General features: G+C 37.5%; 1 long non-coding RNA gene across 1 annotated transcript in view, besides 3 other annotated features; it reads right to left on the bottom strand.

Annotated features, from left to right (window-relative positions):
- The window catches only part of ANKRD17-DT (ANKRD17 divergent transcript), a 99,858-nt gene that overhangs the window by 11,106 nt on the left and 71,658 nt on the right, over positions 1–17,094 (bottom strand). The gene's annotated exons all lie outside the window — the stretch shown is intronic.
- Positions 4,111–4,612: an enhancer, noted in NCBI's record as "OCT4-NANOG hESC enhancer chr4:74209023-74209524 (GRCh37/hg19 assembly coordinates)". NCBI's record gives its function as "activates a minimal SCP1, AML or CMV promoter by ChIP-STARR-seq in primed H9 embryonic stem cells {active_cell/tissue: H9 hESC(primed)}" and the evidence as "EXISTENCE:reporter gene assay evidence [ECO:0000049][PMID:30033119]".
- Positions 7,831–8,330: an enhancer, noted in NCBI's record as "H3K4me1 hESC enhancer chr4:74205305-74205804 (GRCh37/hg19 assembly coordinates)". NCBI's record gives its function as "activates a minimal SCP1, AML or CMV promoter by ChIP-STARR-seq in naive H9 embryonic stem cells {active_cell/tissue: H9 hESC(naive)}" and the evidence as "EXISTENCE:reporter gene assay evidence [ECO:0000049][PMID:30033119]".
- Positions 8,331–8,832: an enhancer, noted in NCBI's record as "H3K4me1 hESC enhancer chr4:74204803-74205304 (GRCh37/hg19 assembly coordinates)". NCBI's record gives its function as "activates a minimal SCP1, AML or CMV promoter by ChIP-STARR-seq in naive H9 embryonic stem cells {active_cell/tissue: H9 hESC(naive)}" and the evidence as "EXISTENCE:reporter gene assay evidence [ECO:0000049][PMID:30033119]".

Genomic DNA, 17,094 nt, shown 5'->3' with positions numbered 1-17,094 from the left:
CAACAATTTTCCCCCTTGAAGTTACCAGATAGTCTATAATGTAGCTATAGCAATCCTCTAGAGAAATAGTGTTTTTAAAACAGACAAAAATAGATCCTATAGATTTTCTTAATGTAATTTTCTGATCTTTTTCTTCCATCTGGTGGTCTCAAATTACAAATTATTTCCAATGTTTACTCAGTTACACAACTGTATACCAAGAGTTCCAGATGGCTTTTTACAACAAAGTTAAAGAAATGTTTCTGCTAAACACATTTTATGAAGGACTTCAAAAGACAAATGATGCAAATACATTTTGACAGAGAGACCTAACACTTTGGAATATGTAAATCTTTGTTCCTCTCTGGAGTATGTGGGAATGCTCTGTAACACTATTTAAATGATGACAAAATAATGTTGGGTATACAAACATAGTAGGGAATAAGAGAACTTGAATTCTAATCTCTCTTCTGCTCTAAATTGCTCTGCAATTTGAACAGTTTCTTAACCTATCTGAGCCTGTTGTCAGATGCAAAACCTGGAGAGCATGTTTCTCTCTCACATCACATTGCTGTTAGGCAAAGTTAAGGACTGCATTAATTAATGTTATTTTAACATTATTGGTTTTGAATCAGTAGCTAACCATCCAAAGAGAACTAGAATGTTAATTTGAAAAGTGTCTTATTAGCAGCAATATTAAAATGACCTAATTCAGTTGCACAAGTTTAATGGAAATTAGAATTGGAGAGAAAAGCAGCAAGTTCAAAAAGAAAGTAATAAAAAGAAGAAAATAAGTTGAAAAATACCACAGACTATTCAAAAGAAAGGCTCAGAGTTATTCAGAAATATTAGCTTTAATTAACCATAAAATGTATATACTAATTATCTATTAGGAAATTGTGCAGTGCAATAGGCTTGTCCAGATAATATCTACCCCTTCTAAGGATCTGCAAGCGAATTTTCTAAAATTCATGTATTCAAATAACTAATCTTTTGTAAAACAGTAATAATAATGCCACAGGTTTTTTGTTGTTCTTTTTTGTTTGTTTTTGTTTTGTTTTGTTTTGTTTTGTTTTGAGAGGGGGTTTCACTCTTGTTGCCCAGGCTGTAGTGCAATGGCACGATCTTGGCTCACTGCAACCTCCGCCTCCCGGGTTCAAGTGATTCCCCTGCCTCAGCCTCCCAAGTAGCTGGGATTACAGGCACGCACCACCACTCCCAGCTAATGTTTTGTAGTTTTAGTAGAGACAGGGTTTCGCCATATTGGTCAGGCAGGTCTCAAACTCCTGACCTCAGGTGATCCGCCCGCCTCGGCCTCCCGAAGTGCTGGGATTACAGGCGTGAGCCACCACGCCTAGCCCACAGTTTTTTTTAAAGTATTACTTAAAGTCTTACAAAAAGTGTTGCTATTGTAATCAGATTGAGAATGTGTTTTTGGAGGCTTAACAGGCATCTAGCATATTGCTGTCATTCTTTTACTAAGACAATATCATTAACAGTGGCTTAAGTTGATATGGTCTGCTATCTTTTTCTATTCATACATAAACATGCAGCCTTTTGTTCATGGATGCCCGTTCTGTTAGCCTGTTGTAAGATCCCAATTTATGTTCGTGGAACTGAATTGAGCTAACTATACAGATCTTTGACTACCACTTAGTACAGAGGCTTGTGCATAGAAAGCTATCCAGTTTAAATACGGGCCAAAAGTCCTGCAGAATTGCTGCTGCTTCTTGCAGACAATTATTTAAACATCGAATGCGTTTTAAATGGTGTATAACTTATAAGGCAAGAAATTTATAAGTAATACAATTTCTATAAAAGAGAAAATATCACTGTAAAAAATTTTTTTCTTCTACTTGTAGGAATCAGAAATGTCTCAAACTGAGTATAACCCACACAGTTACTATTGAGGAAAAAAATTCCAATTCTTAGGTACTTTAGAAAGAAATTAAAGGTGAAGATATTATATATCTAGAGAGTGTGTTTTGCATTACCTTTGTGCACCATTAAGCAACCCAAATTATTTTTGTCAACCAGTCAACATTTCAACCATATCTGGCTTCTTGGTGTTATCCAAATGTTTGTTTTTTTACATCATGTTGACTCCACAGCCACAGTAATTTTTAAACACTCGGTTCCTCTACCTTTGGACTTCAGGGCACTAATATATGGCAGGCATTTCAACAATGTTTTATATGACAGAAAAAGTATTCCACAGTGGTTTAATATGGAAAATTATAATAAACAGCTAGCATTTACTGAGCACTTATCTTGTGCCAGGCACTAGGTTTCACACGTATTATTTTATTTTACCCTCAGGGCAAAAAAGAAAACTGAGCGTTGGAGAGGTTAGGTAACTTATCCAAGGCCATAGGCTTAGTTAATAAATAAGCCGGGACTCAAATCCAGATCTAACTTAATCACTTATCTCTCAACACTCAACATCCTGTTATTGCAAGAGCAGTTCATTAAATGTTACAAGAAATTCAGTGTTTCAAGAATGCAGTACATGCTGACAAAGACATGGATACCATAGCTTCTTCATTCTTCTATAGATAACCATTATTTTATCTGTGTTCAGAGCTATAACTGAAGAAGTGGGAGAAGGAGGAAAAAGAAGGGGAAGAGAAAAACAGCAAGAACAAAATGAACAAGAACAGGAAGAAAGAAAGAAAAAATTAATTTAATATTTTTCCCTTGGAAAATAAAAGCTAAATTCCAAGAATATATCATTTGGATCATATTGGTTAGTTCTTAAGTTACTGTCTCTCTGATCTAAACCCATCCTTCTTTTCTTTATTTTGTAAAGTTGGGACAGAAACTTTGAGAATTGCGTTTCCCCTTTGTCAGTTAATTCCTGTTAAAATCTGCCAAAGACAGCTGCAGAAGAAGATTATAAAGCAGGAGGAAGACCAATATATTTTAGAAAGAAATAATATGGATAACAGCAGCAGTAGATAAACTGGGAAAAAAAAGAGGCAACAGAGAAATTCATTAAACAAATAAAATAAATCTTTAAAAATATTAATAAAATTTGAAAACTTCTGGCACAATTGATCAAGAAAAAAAGAGAAGCCACAAAAAAAATTGAACTGAATAAAAGGAATAGAGAAGTAGAGCTACAACAGAAATGAAGAAAGAATACTGAGGGTTTCTGCCTCAAGGAATGGCAGATAATTTATCTCTTATGAATACTCTGACTCCCAGTGGAAAATGGAATAGAGACAAAGTAGAAATGTGGGATTATTGGAACATATAATAAAGAAAACTTCCAACATAAACAAAATGGATTAGTATAATGAATCGTGAAAGAAGTCGGAACTTAAACATTGGAGGACAGAACACTACCATAGCTGCAGGTATTTCTGGGATGGCAAAATAAGGCTAGTTCTGGGAATATATAAAGAAAATGGAAATTGGAACCAAATGCTTCTTCAACATAAAAAGCCATTGCTAGGGTGAAGCTGACACAAACAGCCAGCTAACAGAAAGGAGCAAACAAAATTGGAAAATATTCAAAATACATAATGCATAGTGATAGTGCAAGTGTGTGCCAAACGTGCCCTCATACACTGTTTATGGTAATATTAATAGTATACAACCTTTCTGAAGGCAATGTGGCAATATGTTTCAATACCATAAAAATGTACATACTGTTTCATAAGGTGATCCACATTTGGTAGTTTGTTTAAAGACAAGATTCAGAGATGTGCCTCAAAATTTGCATTCCTAATGGTAATAAAATACATTCAACATGGGAATAGAGACCAAACAATTAAGCTGAGCAAGGATTATGCCCAAATCACCTCCTCCAGGAAGCCTTTCAGACAATCTATAAGGTGAAGTAGCTACCTCATCTGTGAGCTCCCATTGTCCCCTGCACTTCCCCCTAATTCACCACGCTTACAGTAGGCCATAAGGTGATGGTTTGATTATTTCTCTTATCCCCATCTGATGGTGTCTTTATCTCTGTATCTTCAGCACCTGCTCAAAGAAGGATTCAATAAATATTAATTGAATAAATTAAAGAAAAAAATAGGAAGAAAGGATACTTTTCATGAAAAAGGCATTGATCTGTAGACATGACAAATATGTGTAGGGATAAATTCATATTTCTTTTAATTAAAAAAAATCAATAGCCGAGTCTTCCACTTTATGAACAACGTAAGGCCTGTGCTGAGTTTCTTTCATTCACTTCGCCAGATCCACACCACACCCTTCTCCACCCTGGTCTGTGCTACAGGAAACTGACCTGCATGGACCGTGTCTACTGAATCCCTTGCCCTCTAGGTTCCATGAGGTTCTGTCAGTGGGAAGCCTGGTGGCAGATTGGGGTTGATAGGAGAATGAGGTAAGACTGTTAATTTCCTTGCTCCCTGCCTGCTGGGTCATTGTGAATCATTTGGTCTCTCTTTGGGAAGCTTCAGCTCTGGTTGGGCAGTTATCTCCAAACAGCCACCCACTCTGTGTTACAGTATCTGCTCTCTCCCCTTGCTTCTTCAGGCCTAGAAATAATACGGTCTCTCAGGCTGGGTGCAGTGGCTTACACCTGTAATCCCAGTACTTTGGGAGACCGAGGCAGACAGATCACTAGGTCAGGAGTTCGAAACCAGCCTGGCCAGCATGGTGAAACCTCATCTATACTAAAAGTACAAAAATTAGCCAGGCATGGTGGCACATGCCTGTAATCCCAGCTACTTGGGAGGCTGAGGCAGGAGAATTGTTTGACCCCGGGAGGCGGAGGTTGCAGTGAGCCGATATCGAACAACTGCCCTCCAGCCTGAGTGACAGAGTGAGACTTCTTCTCAAAAAAAAAAAAAAAAAAAAAAAAAGAAAAGAAAACAAAAAAGAAAAGAAAAGAAACGAAAAGAAAAGAAATAATACTGTCTCTCCATCTTGCTAGATCTGGCATAGTTGGGTTTTCTAAACTCTGCCTGCAGGTTTGTAAAAAAGTCCTCTTCTCAAATTACCTGGTTCGAATGGGCCCTCGGATTCTTGCCAGAACCCTGACTATTAAAAGGCCTTCATTCACAATTCTGAATAAGATCTTGAAAAGGGGACAAATTTTATGGTTGACCTTAGTATCCTCTAGTGTTTTTTTAATCCAAAGATATAATGATGAATATCAATAGGATCCTTTAAGGCAGTGTTAATTAGCAGAAATGTGCTAACAGTTTTACTATGGGCAAGCATTAATGCTTTTTAAAATCAATAATATAAACTATAGTTAGAAAATAGCATAAAACAAGCTGTTTCATAGCAGAAAAAAAGCTGTAAACCAGGAAAAACATTATCAGTTTTCTCTCCAAAGCAACGATGCAATTTAATCTTAAAATTCTAAAGAACAATAAATATTAAGAATCACTAGACAATAGGTGTCTCCATTATGCTATCCATTTTTATGTCCTATACTTTCAGTGTTTAGAACAGCACCTTGTACATGAGGACTGAGAAACTACTTATTCAACTAACTAATCAGGAAGCATACTGTAAACAAAACATAAAATATCATCTGTATAAAAAGGAAGATTTTACACTGAGAATATGAAGTGACAGTCTGGTTATTAATAAAGACATAAGTGACCAAAAGATCTAGAAAATAGTAAATACCCATAAATAAATACATAAAAATGATTGATATGTACATAGACTAAAACTATTGGACTTGTATGAAAACAGTAGATACCATTTGTTAAGTGAATACATCTATTAAGTACTTCACATATACTATTAATAGCTTCAATGCGCACATTCCTGTTACGTGGAGGTAATTAAGGAAGGCCTAGGAGGGGGTGATAGCTGTGTTAACCCAGAAAGAAGGAACAGGAATTGTCCAAGAAGATGAAAGGAGAAAGAAAGTTCCAGGTAGAACACCAACTTGTGCAAAATCACAGAGACAAGAGAGAAGGATGCATTTCAGGAACTTCAGACATTTCAGTCCTGAAGAAGGGGTGAAAGTTGCCAGGAGACAAAGCAGGATTTTATCATGAAGACCATGGGAAGCCATTATTTCTACATAGAAATATCATTATCTAACATTTGTTTTAGGCAAGTGTATGGCAAAGCAGTGTAAAGATGATTGTTATTAAGACTAAAATGAATAATAAGGGCAAGTAATAAATATACTGTAAAGCACAGACACTCGTTCTTATCTTTCTTAGGTTTTTGCTACGCTGCTTTTTGCACCCCTGCATTATTATACCAGTCTACATTCTAAGAAAAGTCACCTTTGGCTTTGTGCCCCCCAGTCAGCTGTTCAGTCTGTCCGGCAGATCCCCATTGGCGTTTATACCAACCAAATCTTTTGGAGTTGTACATCCTTTGCCTAATGCCCTAACAAGGCTCTACAGCACTCACTGGGACAAGAGCACCACCTTGTGTTGCATCACTGATTGTTCACAATTCTCAACATGCTTTGTTTTTGCTTGAGCTAGAGCTACTTGTGGCTGAGGCCTTTGAAGCTTCCTCCCAGGAGTAGCATAGAATAGAAAATTGTTAACAAATATTTTTCCAAATATAAAAAAAATGGAGCCCAAGCCCTTTTTTCAATACAGTAATAGTGCCAATGCCTAACATTAGTATATTGGTTACTACATGCTGGAAAATGCTTAGCTTATGTCCTCTGAACTCTTGCTATTTACTATTGTTTTTAACAGATTTATGCTTTAAAAAATGTTTTTAATACAACTCAAATTATGCTCTAGGAGCTAAAAGTCAGTTAAATGTAAACTTACCCTGTTCTGTCTTATAGAATCCCACAGTCAGTAAGTTTTTTAAAAGGATTCCAAGGAGTTCTTAGAAAGTACATTCCTTGATGTCTGCAAGCCTTTGCAAGCAGATCAACTATTTAAACTATTTTAAAAGAATTACTGTAGAAAGAAGTTTTCTTAAATTCCTGGAGAAGGAACATGCATAGATTCTTTCTGCCTCCTCCTCATTACACCACTCCACAGGCAGTTTTGCCTTACTTTTCTATTGTTCTGGCTTTATTTCTTTCTCATATTTATTGCAAAATAAGCTCCAAATAAGTAGAAGTTTATTAGTATTTTCTTAGAGCAGAAGCCAATATACCACCACTAAAAACACCACTGAACACACATGATGAACATGCAATACAAATTGAAAAGTCCATTAATGTATTATTGTTCCCATTTCAAGATGGGAAACTGAAGCTGAGGGAGGATTATAGAAGTTCATACATCTAGTAAGTGGTACAGTCATTTCAAATCCAGGTCTCTTGGACTCAGCACTTGTGACCAAAACCATTATGCTTTATTGTCTCTAACCATAGCATTCCAAATCATAAGCACATATTAATACCAAACATCTGTTAAGTATAATCCAAACAAATTATGTGCAAATGTCAAAACTGATACAAATTTGGAAAAAAGTTGATCATTCAAAACTTACTGCAAAACTACAGTAACCAAGGTGGCTGGCAAGATGGCCAGCTAAGAACAGCTCCAGTCTGCAGCTCCCAGAAAGATCAATGCAGAAAGTGGGTGATTTCTGCATTTCCAACTGAGGTACCCAGCTCATCTCATTGGGACTAGTTAAACAGTGGGTGCAGCCCACGGAGGGCGAGCTGAAGCAGGGTGGGCCGTCGCCTCACCTGGGAAGTGCAAGGGGTCAGAGAACTCCCTTGGAACTGGGTAACAGGCAGAGGCTGGAACAGTTTGGAGGACTCAGAAGACAGAAAAGTGTGGGAAAGTTTGAAACTCCTAGAGATTTGTTGAATGGCTTTGACAAAAATGCTGATGATGATATGAACAGTAAGGTCCAGGCTGAGTTGGTTGCAGATGGAGATGAGGAACTTATTGGAAACTGGAGCAAAAGTGACTCTCGTTAGGTTTTAGCAAAGAGACTGGCGGAATTTTGCCCCTGCCCTAGAGATTTGTGGGACTTTGAACTTGAGACAGATGATTTAGAGTATCTTGCAGAATAAATTTCTAAGCAGCATAGCATTCTACAGATGACTTGGATGCTGTTAGAAGCATTCAGTTTTAAAAGGGAAACAGAGCTTAAAAGTTTGAAAAATTTGCAGCCTAACAATGCAATAGAAAAGAAAATCTCATTTTCTGAGGAGAAATTCAAGCCAGCTGCAGAAATTTGCATAAGTAACGAGAAGCCAAATATTAATCTCCAAGACAATGGGGAGAATGTCTCCAGGGCATGTCAGAGACCTTTGCAGGAGCTTCTCCCATCACAGACCTGGAGGTTTAGGAGGAAAAAAATGGTTTCATGGGCAGGGCCCAGGGTCCCTGTGCTACGTGTAGTCTAGGGACTTGGTGCCCTGCGTCCCAGCTGCTCCAGTCATGGCTGAAATGGCCAACACAGAGCTCGAGCCATGTCTTCAGAGGGTGCAAGCCCCAAGCATTAGCAGCCTCCACATGCTGCTGAGCCTGCAGGTTCACAGAAGTCAAGAATTGGGGTTTGGGAACCTCCGCCTAGATTTCAGAAGATGTATGGGAATGCCTGAATGGCCAGGCAGAAGTTTGCTGCAGGGACAGGGCTCTCATGGAGAACCTCTGCTAGGACAGTGCAGAAGGGAAATGTGGGGTTGGCTCTCTGCGTGGGGTTGGGCCCTCTTGCATCAGTGTGACCTGGATGTGAGACCTGGAGTCAAAGGAGATTATTTTGGAGCTTTAAAATTTGACTGCCCCACTGGATTTTGGACTTGCATGGGCCCTGTAACTGTTTTGTTTTGGCCAATTTCTCCCATTTGGAACAACTGTATTTACCCAATACCTGTACCCCCATTGTATCTAGGAAGTAACTAGCTTGCTTTTGATTTTACAGGCTCATAGGCAGAAGGGACTTGTCTTGTCTCAGATGAGACTTTTTACTGTGGACTTCTGGGTTAATGCTAAAATGAGTTAAGACTTTGGGGGACTGTTGGGAAGGCGTGATTAGTTTTGAAATGTGAGGACATGAGATTTGGAGGGGCCAGGGGTGGAATGATATGGTTTGGCTCTGTGTCCCCACCCAAATCTCATCTTGAATTGTAATCCCATAATTCCCACATGCGGTGAGAGGGACCCAGTGGAAGATAATTTGAATCATGGGGGCAGTTTCTCCCATACTGTTCTTGTGGTAGGTTAATAAGTCTCATGAGATCTGATGGTTTTATCAGGATTTCCCCTTTTACATCTTTGTCATTTTTCTCTTGCCGCCACCATGTAAGAAGTGCCTTTTATCCCTCGCCATGATTCTGAGGCCTCCCCAGCCATGTGGAACTGTAAGTTCCTAATTAAACCTCTTTTTCTTCCCAGTCTCAGGTATGTCTTTATCAGCAGCATGAAAATGGACTAATACAATAGCCCAATTTAAAAATGGGCAAAGGAAGTGAATAGATAGTTCTCCAAAAAGGATATACAAATGGTCAATAAGCACTTGAAAAGATGATCAACATTATTAGCCACCAGGGAAATGAAAATCAAAACCACCAGATGTCATTTCACACCCAATAAGATGACTACCTGAAAAAAGATAGACAATAACAAATGTTAGCAAGAATGTGGAGATATTCAAATTCTCATATATTGCTCATGGGACTGTAAAATGGTGGTAGCCACTTTGGAAAATAGTCTGACAGTTTCTCAAAGGGTTAAACAGAGTTACCACATGATCCAGCAATTCCACTCCTAGGTATATACCCAAGAAAAATAAAAACGTATCTACACAAAAACGCACACACAAATGTTCATAGCAGCAGTATTCATAATAGCATAAAAGAGAAACCACCCAAATGTCCATCAATTGATGAACGGATAAACAAAATGTAGTATATTTATACAATGAAATATTGTTTAATAATAAAAAGAAATGAAGTAATGATACATGCCACTACATGCATAAACCTTGAAAACACGTTAAGTGAAAAACCTATCACAAAGGACCACATATTCCATGATTTCATTTATATGAATTTTCAAGAGTGGGAAAATTACAGAAAGTAGATTGGCAGTTGCCTGATGCTGGAGAGGAAAAGGAGATTGTAGGGTGATGGCTAGGGAATGTGGGTTTTTTGGAGGGGGTAATGACAATGTACTAAAATTGTGTTGATGGATGCATAACTCTGTGAATATACTAAAAACCCTTGAATTGTACACTTTAAGTGGGTGAATCATATGGCATGTGAATTATATCTTTAAAAACCATAATAAATTTACTTGTGATGGTCATTCAGGAATATTTTACTTTGCACACAGAAGCACAGGGGCATGTGATGATGCCGAGACAAAATCTTAGGTCAGACATAAATATGAAAACTGCAAGTCTCTAAAGCCTCATGTAGCTGCTCCTCAGAAACATATTTAAGACATAATTGGTTTCAAAAACAAGAAAGTTAGTGAACAAACAAAAGAAAAGCATATAAAGTAGTAAAACTGCTGCAAAGATTACCTTGATGATATTAAAGACATAAGTTCATGGGAATAAGTCACTGCCATAGGCAAAGAGAACTTACTTTCAGGTTCTCTTTGCTACAGTGAGCAGAGAGAAAAATGAATCAATGTTCTTGTGCCATAAATGAAGTATGGATAAACTTAGACACTTTTTAGCTTCTTTAACCAGGCTTAAAATGACAAAAAGCAATATATAGTCAAAACATTACTTCTGGAGAAGCCCTACTCTTGAATTTATCTTTGGAAATTAAGAATTGCCAAGGAATATTGCCATTTGGGGGTAGGCATGCAATATTGTAATAATTAATTTCTTTTGAAAAATATCCATTTTTACTTAGAAGAACCATTCAGTAATTCAAGGCAGAAATTTCTTTTTAATATTTAATTTTAATTTTTGTGGGTACATAGTAAGTGTATACAATTATGGGGTACATGAGATGTTTTAATGCAGGCATGCAATGTTTAATAATCACATCATGTAAAATGGGGTATCCATCCCCTCAAGAATTTATCCTTTGTGTTATAAACAATCCAATTATATTCTTTTTATTATTTTTAATGTACTATCGAGTTATTATTGACTATAAAAAGTGACCCTATTGTGCTATCGATTACTAGGTCTAACTCTTTCTATTTTTTCTGTACCCATTAACCATTGTCCCCAGCCCCCCACTACTTTTCCCAGCCTCTGGTAACCATCCTTCTACTCTCTATGTCCGTGAATTCAATTGTTTTGATTCTTAGATCCCACAAATAAATCAGAACATGTGAAGTTTGTCTTTTCTGTGCCTGGCTTATTTCACTTGGCATAATGACCTCCAGTTCCATCCATGTTGTGGCAAATGACAGGATCCCATTCTTTTTATGACTCAGTAGTACTCCATTGTGTATAAGCACCACACTTTATCCATTCATCTGTTGATGGACACTTACATTGCTTTTAAATTTGGGCTATTGTGAACAGTGCTGCAACAAATATGGGAGTGCAGATATCTCTTCGATATACTGTTTTCCTTTCTTTTGGGTATATACCCAGCAGTGGGATTTCTGGATCATATGGTAGCTCAATTTTTGGTTTTTTGAGGAACCTTCAAACTGTTTTCCATAGTGGTTGTACTAATTTACATTCCCACCAATAGTGTACAAGGGTTTCCTTTTCTTCACCTCTTCGACAGCATTTGTTACTGTCAAGGCAAAAATTTCAAGGAATGTTGTGCATACATATTTAGGTCAATTTCTTCAACATAAATTTTATTCTTATGTTTTATTTTAAAGTTGCTTTACAATTTATTTCTATAATGTCTATATATATTACTTATATGTTTATGAATTTTAGACGAAATTTTAATTGGAAATTATTACTTTTAAAATTTTATTGATGAATTCAATTATTGATGACTTCATATACTAACCAGGTCTTGCAAAATTATGATGCAGTAACAAAAATCCATCCTCTCAGGGATTACAACAACAAATATCTTGTTACTTTACATGTCAGTGGGAGGTTGCCTGTGTGTTCCACCTTCTTTTCCATTTGTGATTTAGGTAGAGTAGCAGTCTTCATGTGGAGCTTTGTCATTGTTGTGGCAGTGGGAAAAGAGAAGGCAGAGCCACAGATGGCCCTTAGTGCTGCTGGTCAGTAATAGCAGACATCATTTCTGCTTAGAGTCCATTAGCTAAAGCAAGTCATTTAGCAAAGCCTGACATCGCTAAACCTCTGAAGTGCACAGAAAAAAACACCATTGGTCGGTGAAGCCTGCCATCACAGAATGGAGAATTATCAGCCTTTCACAGGATAAACGGCAAACATGTAAAAACAGTAATCTGTCATCACCATGAATAACAGAGTCTGAAGGAAACATTAGAGATAATCTAATTCAATCTCACAAGTTTATAGATGAGAAATCAGAGGCCTAGAAAGGGAAAGTGATTTACTATAACTAATCAGGATGAAATATCTGACAGTCTCACACCATAGTAGAATTCACCTTTTTGTTTATAGGAACAATTGATAAGTGAAAAAGTAATACGGTAGGCCAACTTAACTATGTATCTGCACACACATCAAAACATACAAACATACATATACAGCAAGAGTAATAATTTTCAGCCAGCAAATTCATATTTATGCTACTAACTGATAAATATCATGTATATCTAACAAGGTACTTAGAAAAAGAGAAATTACTCCTGTTTATTTTTGGAAACACTACAAATCAAGCCTTGATTTCTTGTTTTGATAATAGACAAGAAAAGCATGGAGAAAATGTTAATAATGCAGATTAAAGTGTGTCATGTTATGTCATATTGTAAGTAGCACCAAAAAATTGGAGAAATATTCTCCCAGTATTTGAAAACTCACCTAATTCAGCAAAAAAGTCACACACATAATTGACAAACAAGTGATGTTTTAACATCAGTCTTTTCTTTTTCACTTCGTTCTTACTAGTTAATGTAAACAAATGTTATCAACCAACATTCATGATTAACCACATCATGTTCATCAACTACAACCATAGGGAAACTATGGATACAGGAGGCTGGTAAAAAAAAAAAAAAAAACTCAAAAAGAATTCTGTGAGAATCAATTGGCTATATTAAAAGCACTATATATTTTATTATTATTTCTAAGTTGTGCTACACATTGTATGTATCAATAAACTTTATAATAAACATATACATACATGCATACTTTTTTTAGAAAGCTGCTTGTTAAACATTTACCAGTAAGCACTACGAATAGAGATATTCATCAAATATCTCTCAAAGTTTCTGATATTATCAATGTCTACAGGAGCAATGAGGAAATAAAAGCTTTCACTATTTATCGATGCTTTTATGTTCATGCATTTAAGTACCTACAAAGTGTAAGGACCTGTTTCTAATTGCTGTGTTAAATACAAAGATGTAGTCTCCTCAAGGAGTTAAAAATACAACAGAGGAAATAATTGACATAAACCTTACTATAATGCGAAGCAGTATGAGCAACACCACCCCCACCACAGACACACACAAAAAGTAGGAAACATAGTAACAAAGTAACGTGCCAGTGCACTTTAGTAAGAAATGTCAAATCTGGAATTAGAAATGGTTTACATACATTCCTAAACACTCTAAAAGTTTTACTACAAACTAATAATTAGAATAGTGTTTGTCATAGTGCTTTGTGCATAGCAAATTATCAACATTATGTCATCAACATTATGTCTCTTGAATTGTACTAAAGGTAAATCTGGCTGGGCACAATGGTTCATGCTTGTAATCCCAGCATTTTGGGATCTGAGGCAGGTGGATCACTTGAGGTCAGGAGTTAGAGACCAGCCTGGCCAACATGGAGAAACCCCGTCTCTACTAAAAATACAAAAATTAGCTGGGCGTGGTGGTGTGTGCCTATAAAATCCCAGCTACTAGGGAGGCTGAGGCACAAGAATCGCTTGAACCTGGGAAGGTGGAGGTTGCAGTGAGCCGAGATCACCACACTGCACTCCAGCCTAGGCGACAGAGTAAGATGCTGTCTCAAAAATAAATAAATAAATAAAAATAAAATAAAAGGAAAGGAAAGGAAGAGAAAAAGAAAAAGAAAAGAAAAAACTGGCAAGGATTGGGTCAAAGAAGAGGCCCTCTGATTAGGCAAAAAAAAAAGTAGCAAGGAGGGAAGGATACATTCTAATAGACACAACTGCAGTGAGATAGTGAGGCCACAGATGGCATTTGGCATCCTCAGAAGCTCTTGAAACTTGGCTCTTGCTTGAACAGTCTCCTCAAAGGAACTGAGTTGAGGGCAAAGGAAGAAAGAACTCAATATATTCTGGTTCTGCATTTCGAGTTACTAAAGACAAACTCCAGGCTTCTTTCTGGGGGTTTTGGTTTCATATGCTTCCTGAGGTCTCAGGGGCCTCACTGACTCTCACCTTAATATATTCTCACCTCTTGCAGATACTTTTAAAACTCACAAAGAGGCCGGGCGCGGTGGCTCACACCTGTAATCCCAGCACTTTGGGAGGCCGAGGCGGGCAGATCACGAGGTCAGGATATCGAGACCATCCTGGCTAACATGGTGAAACCCCATCTCTACTAAAAATAGAAAAATTAGCTGGGCGTGGTGGCGGGCACCTGTAGTCCCAGCTACTCAGGAGGCTGAGGCAGGAGAATGGTGTGAACCCTGAGGCGGAGCTTGCAGTGAGCTGAGATCGCGCCACTCCACTCCAGCCTGGGAGACACAGTGAGACTCCATGTCAAAAAAATAATAATAAAATAAAAAATAAAACTCACAAAGAATAGAATTTAAACGCAGATAGATGATTAAAATGCAAATTAGCTTCAGATTAAATGTAATCAGACAGCAAGTGAGTATCAATGATAGATTCTCAGATTTTTCCTGGTTTTGGTGACATTAATAAAGAGAAGAAAGCTTAAAGAACTCAAAGAAAGGAAAACACTGCAAAAAGAATAATCTAGGAATGAGACAAAACTCTGAGCCATCACGTCTTTGACCCTGAAAAAAACTGTAGTCTAAGATATTTTGTGACATAACAGCAATGACAGCTGAGGTTGTATGCAAGTTTTTGTTTTGTATCATTTTTCTAAACTGAGAAACTTAACTGAGGTATCAAAATACATAGATTGATTTCATTTCCTTTGTTGCCACATCAGAATAATTTATCTATTGTTTTATTTAATAATGTGGTACACAAAAATAAGATACAGTATCTACAATCTACTGATTTTGAAAGTCTAACTTATATAGTTGGTTAGCTCAGTTTTTTAGAGTGTGGTGTTAATAAATGATTAATTTACATAAACAAAAGAATTTTTTAACTTGTGAAAATGAACAATAAAAATGACAGTTAAAAATAAAGTAAACTACCGTATACTAAAACCTGGGGGTGGGGGGGTGCACCCAGAGTACATCTAGAGTAGCAGTCCCCAATGTTTTTGGCACCAGGGACTGGTTTTGTGGAAGACAAGTTTTCTATGGACCAGGGTCAGGGGTGTGGTTTTGGGATGATTCAAGCACGTTACATTTATTGTGCACTTTATTTCATTATTATTACATTGTAATATATAATTAAATAAGTATACAACTCATCATAATGTAGAATCAGTATGAGCCCTGAGCTTGTTTTCCTGCAACTAGACAGTCCCATCTGGGAGTGATGGGAGACAGTGACAGTTCATCAGGCATTAGATTCTCATAAAGAGTACACAACCTAAATCCCTCACATGCGCAGTTCACAATAGGATTTGTGCTCCTGTGAGAATCTAATGCTGCCACTGATCTGACAGGAGGTGGAGCTCAGGTGGTAATGCAAGTGATGGGGAGCGGCTATAAATACAGATGATGCTTCACTCACTCTCCTGCCACTCACCTCCTGCTGTGAGAAATGGTTCCTAACAGGCCATGGACCAATAGTGGAACCCCTGATATAGAAGAAAATTTAAAGTCTTAACTGCATTTAAGGGAAGTATGAGGCAGGGGAAGGAGAACTACATTTGTTAAGTAAGTATACAAATTAGAGAGTGAGAAAACCCAACAAAGTAGCAGACAGAAAATAATAAAGCTACACCCAGAAACTGAAGAAATAGCAAACAAGCAGCAGAAAAGAATAGAGAATCTGGGCCAGGCACAGTGGCTCACGCCTGTAATCCCAGCACTTTGGGAGGCCGAGGTGAGCAGATCACCTGAGGTCAGGAGTTTAAGACCAGCCTGGCCAACATGGTGAAACCCCATCTCTACTAAAAATACAAAAAAAAAATTAGCCAGGCGTGGTGGTAGGTGCCTGTAATTCCAGCTACTCAGGAGGCTGAGGCAGGAGAATTGCTTGAACCCGGGAGGCGGGGGTTGCAGTGAGCCGAGATCACGCCATTGCACTCCAGCCTGGGCAACGAGAGCGAAACTCCGTCTCAAAAAAATAAAAAATAAAAGAATAGAGAATCTTAAAGCTAGCGTTCAAAAAGTTTAACAAAATAAGTAAGCTGTTAGCAATCAAGGCAAAAAAAGGATAAAAGAAAGAAGTCACAAAAATAAGCAATATTAGGTCCGAGCACAGTGGCTCATGCCTCTAATCCCAGCACTTTGGGAGGCCGAGGTGGGAAGATCACCTGAGGTCAGGTGAAACCTGTCTCTACTAAAAATATAAAAATTAGCCAGGTGTGGTGGCACACCCCTGTAATCCCAGCTACTAGGGAGGTTGAGGCAGGAGGATCACTTGAACCTGGGAGGCTGAGGTTGTAGTGAGCCGAGATTGCACCACTGCACTCCAGCCTGGGTGACAGAGCGAGACTCTGTCTCAAAAAAGAAAAAGAAAAAAAAAAAGCAGTATTAGGAATGAAAAGGGGAGCCTAAGCAGAAATAAGGAAATCCTTAAAATCATAAAATAATAGTGTAAGTTTTAGTCCATACTTTTCATTTTTACATATTTTATTTTGTTAATTTCAAAAGATGGTACATTCCCATGGGTTAAATTTAAACTACTCCAAATGATTATACTAAAAACTTTTTCTCATCTCTCCTCCAACTACCCAATATCTCTCTCAAAGGCAGTCCAATGGTTTCATTAACTCATGAGTACTTCCAAAGACATTTTATTCATTTATAGGTTAATACAAATATGACTTCTCTTACCACCTTTCTCACAAATAAAATAACTGGTAGGTTTTAAAGATTCTCCTGGACAAAAATGTATAGGTATACTTCACAAAACTTTCA

The sequence above is a fragment of the Homo sapiens genome, chromosome 4 (assembly GCF_000001405.40).
Source record: "Homo sapiens chromosome 4, GRCh38.p14 Primary Assembly".
Taxonomy (NCBI): Eukaryota; Metazoa; Chordata; class Mammalia; order Primates; family Hominidae; genus Homo; species Homo sapiens.
This window is presented reverse-complemented; position numbering and strand designations above follow the sequence as displayed.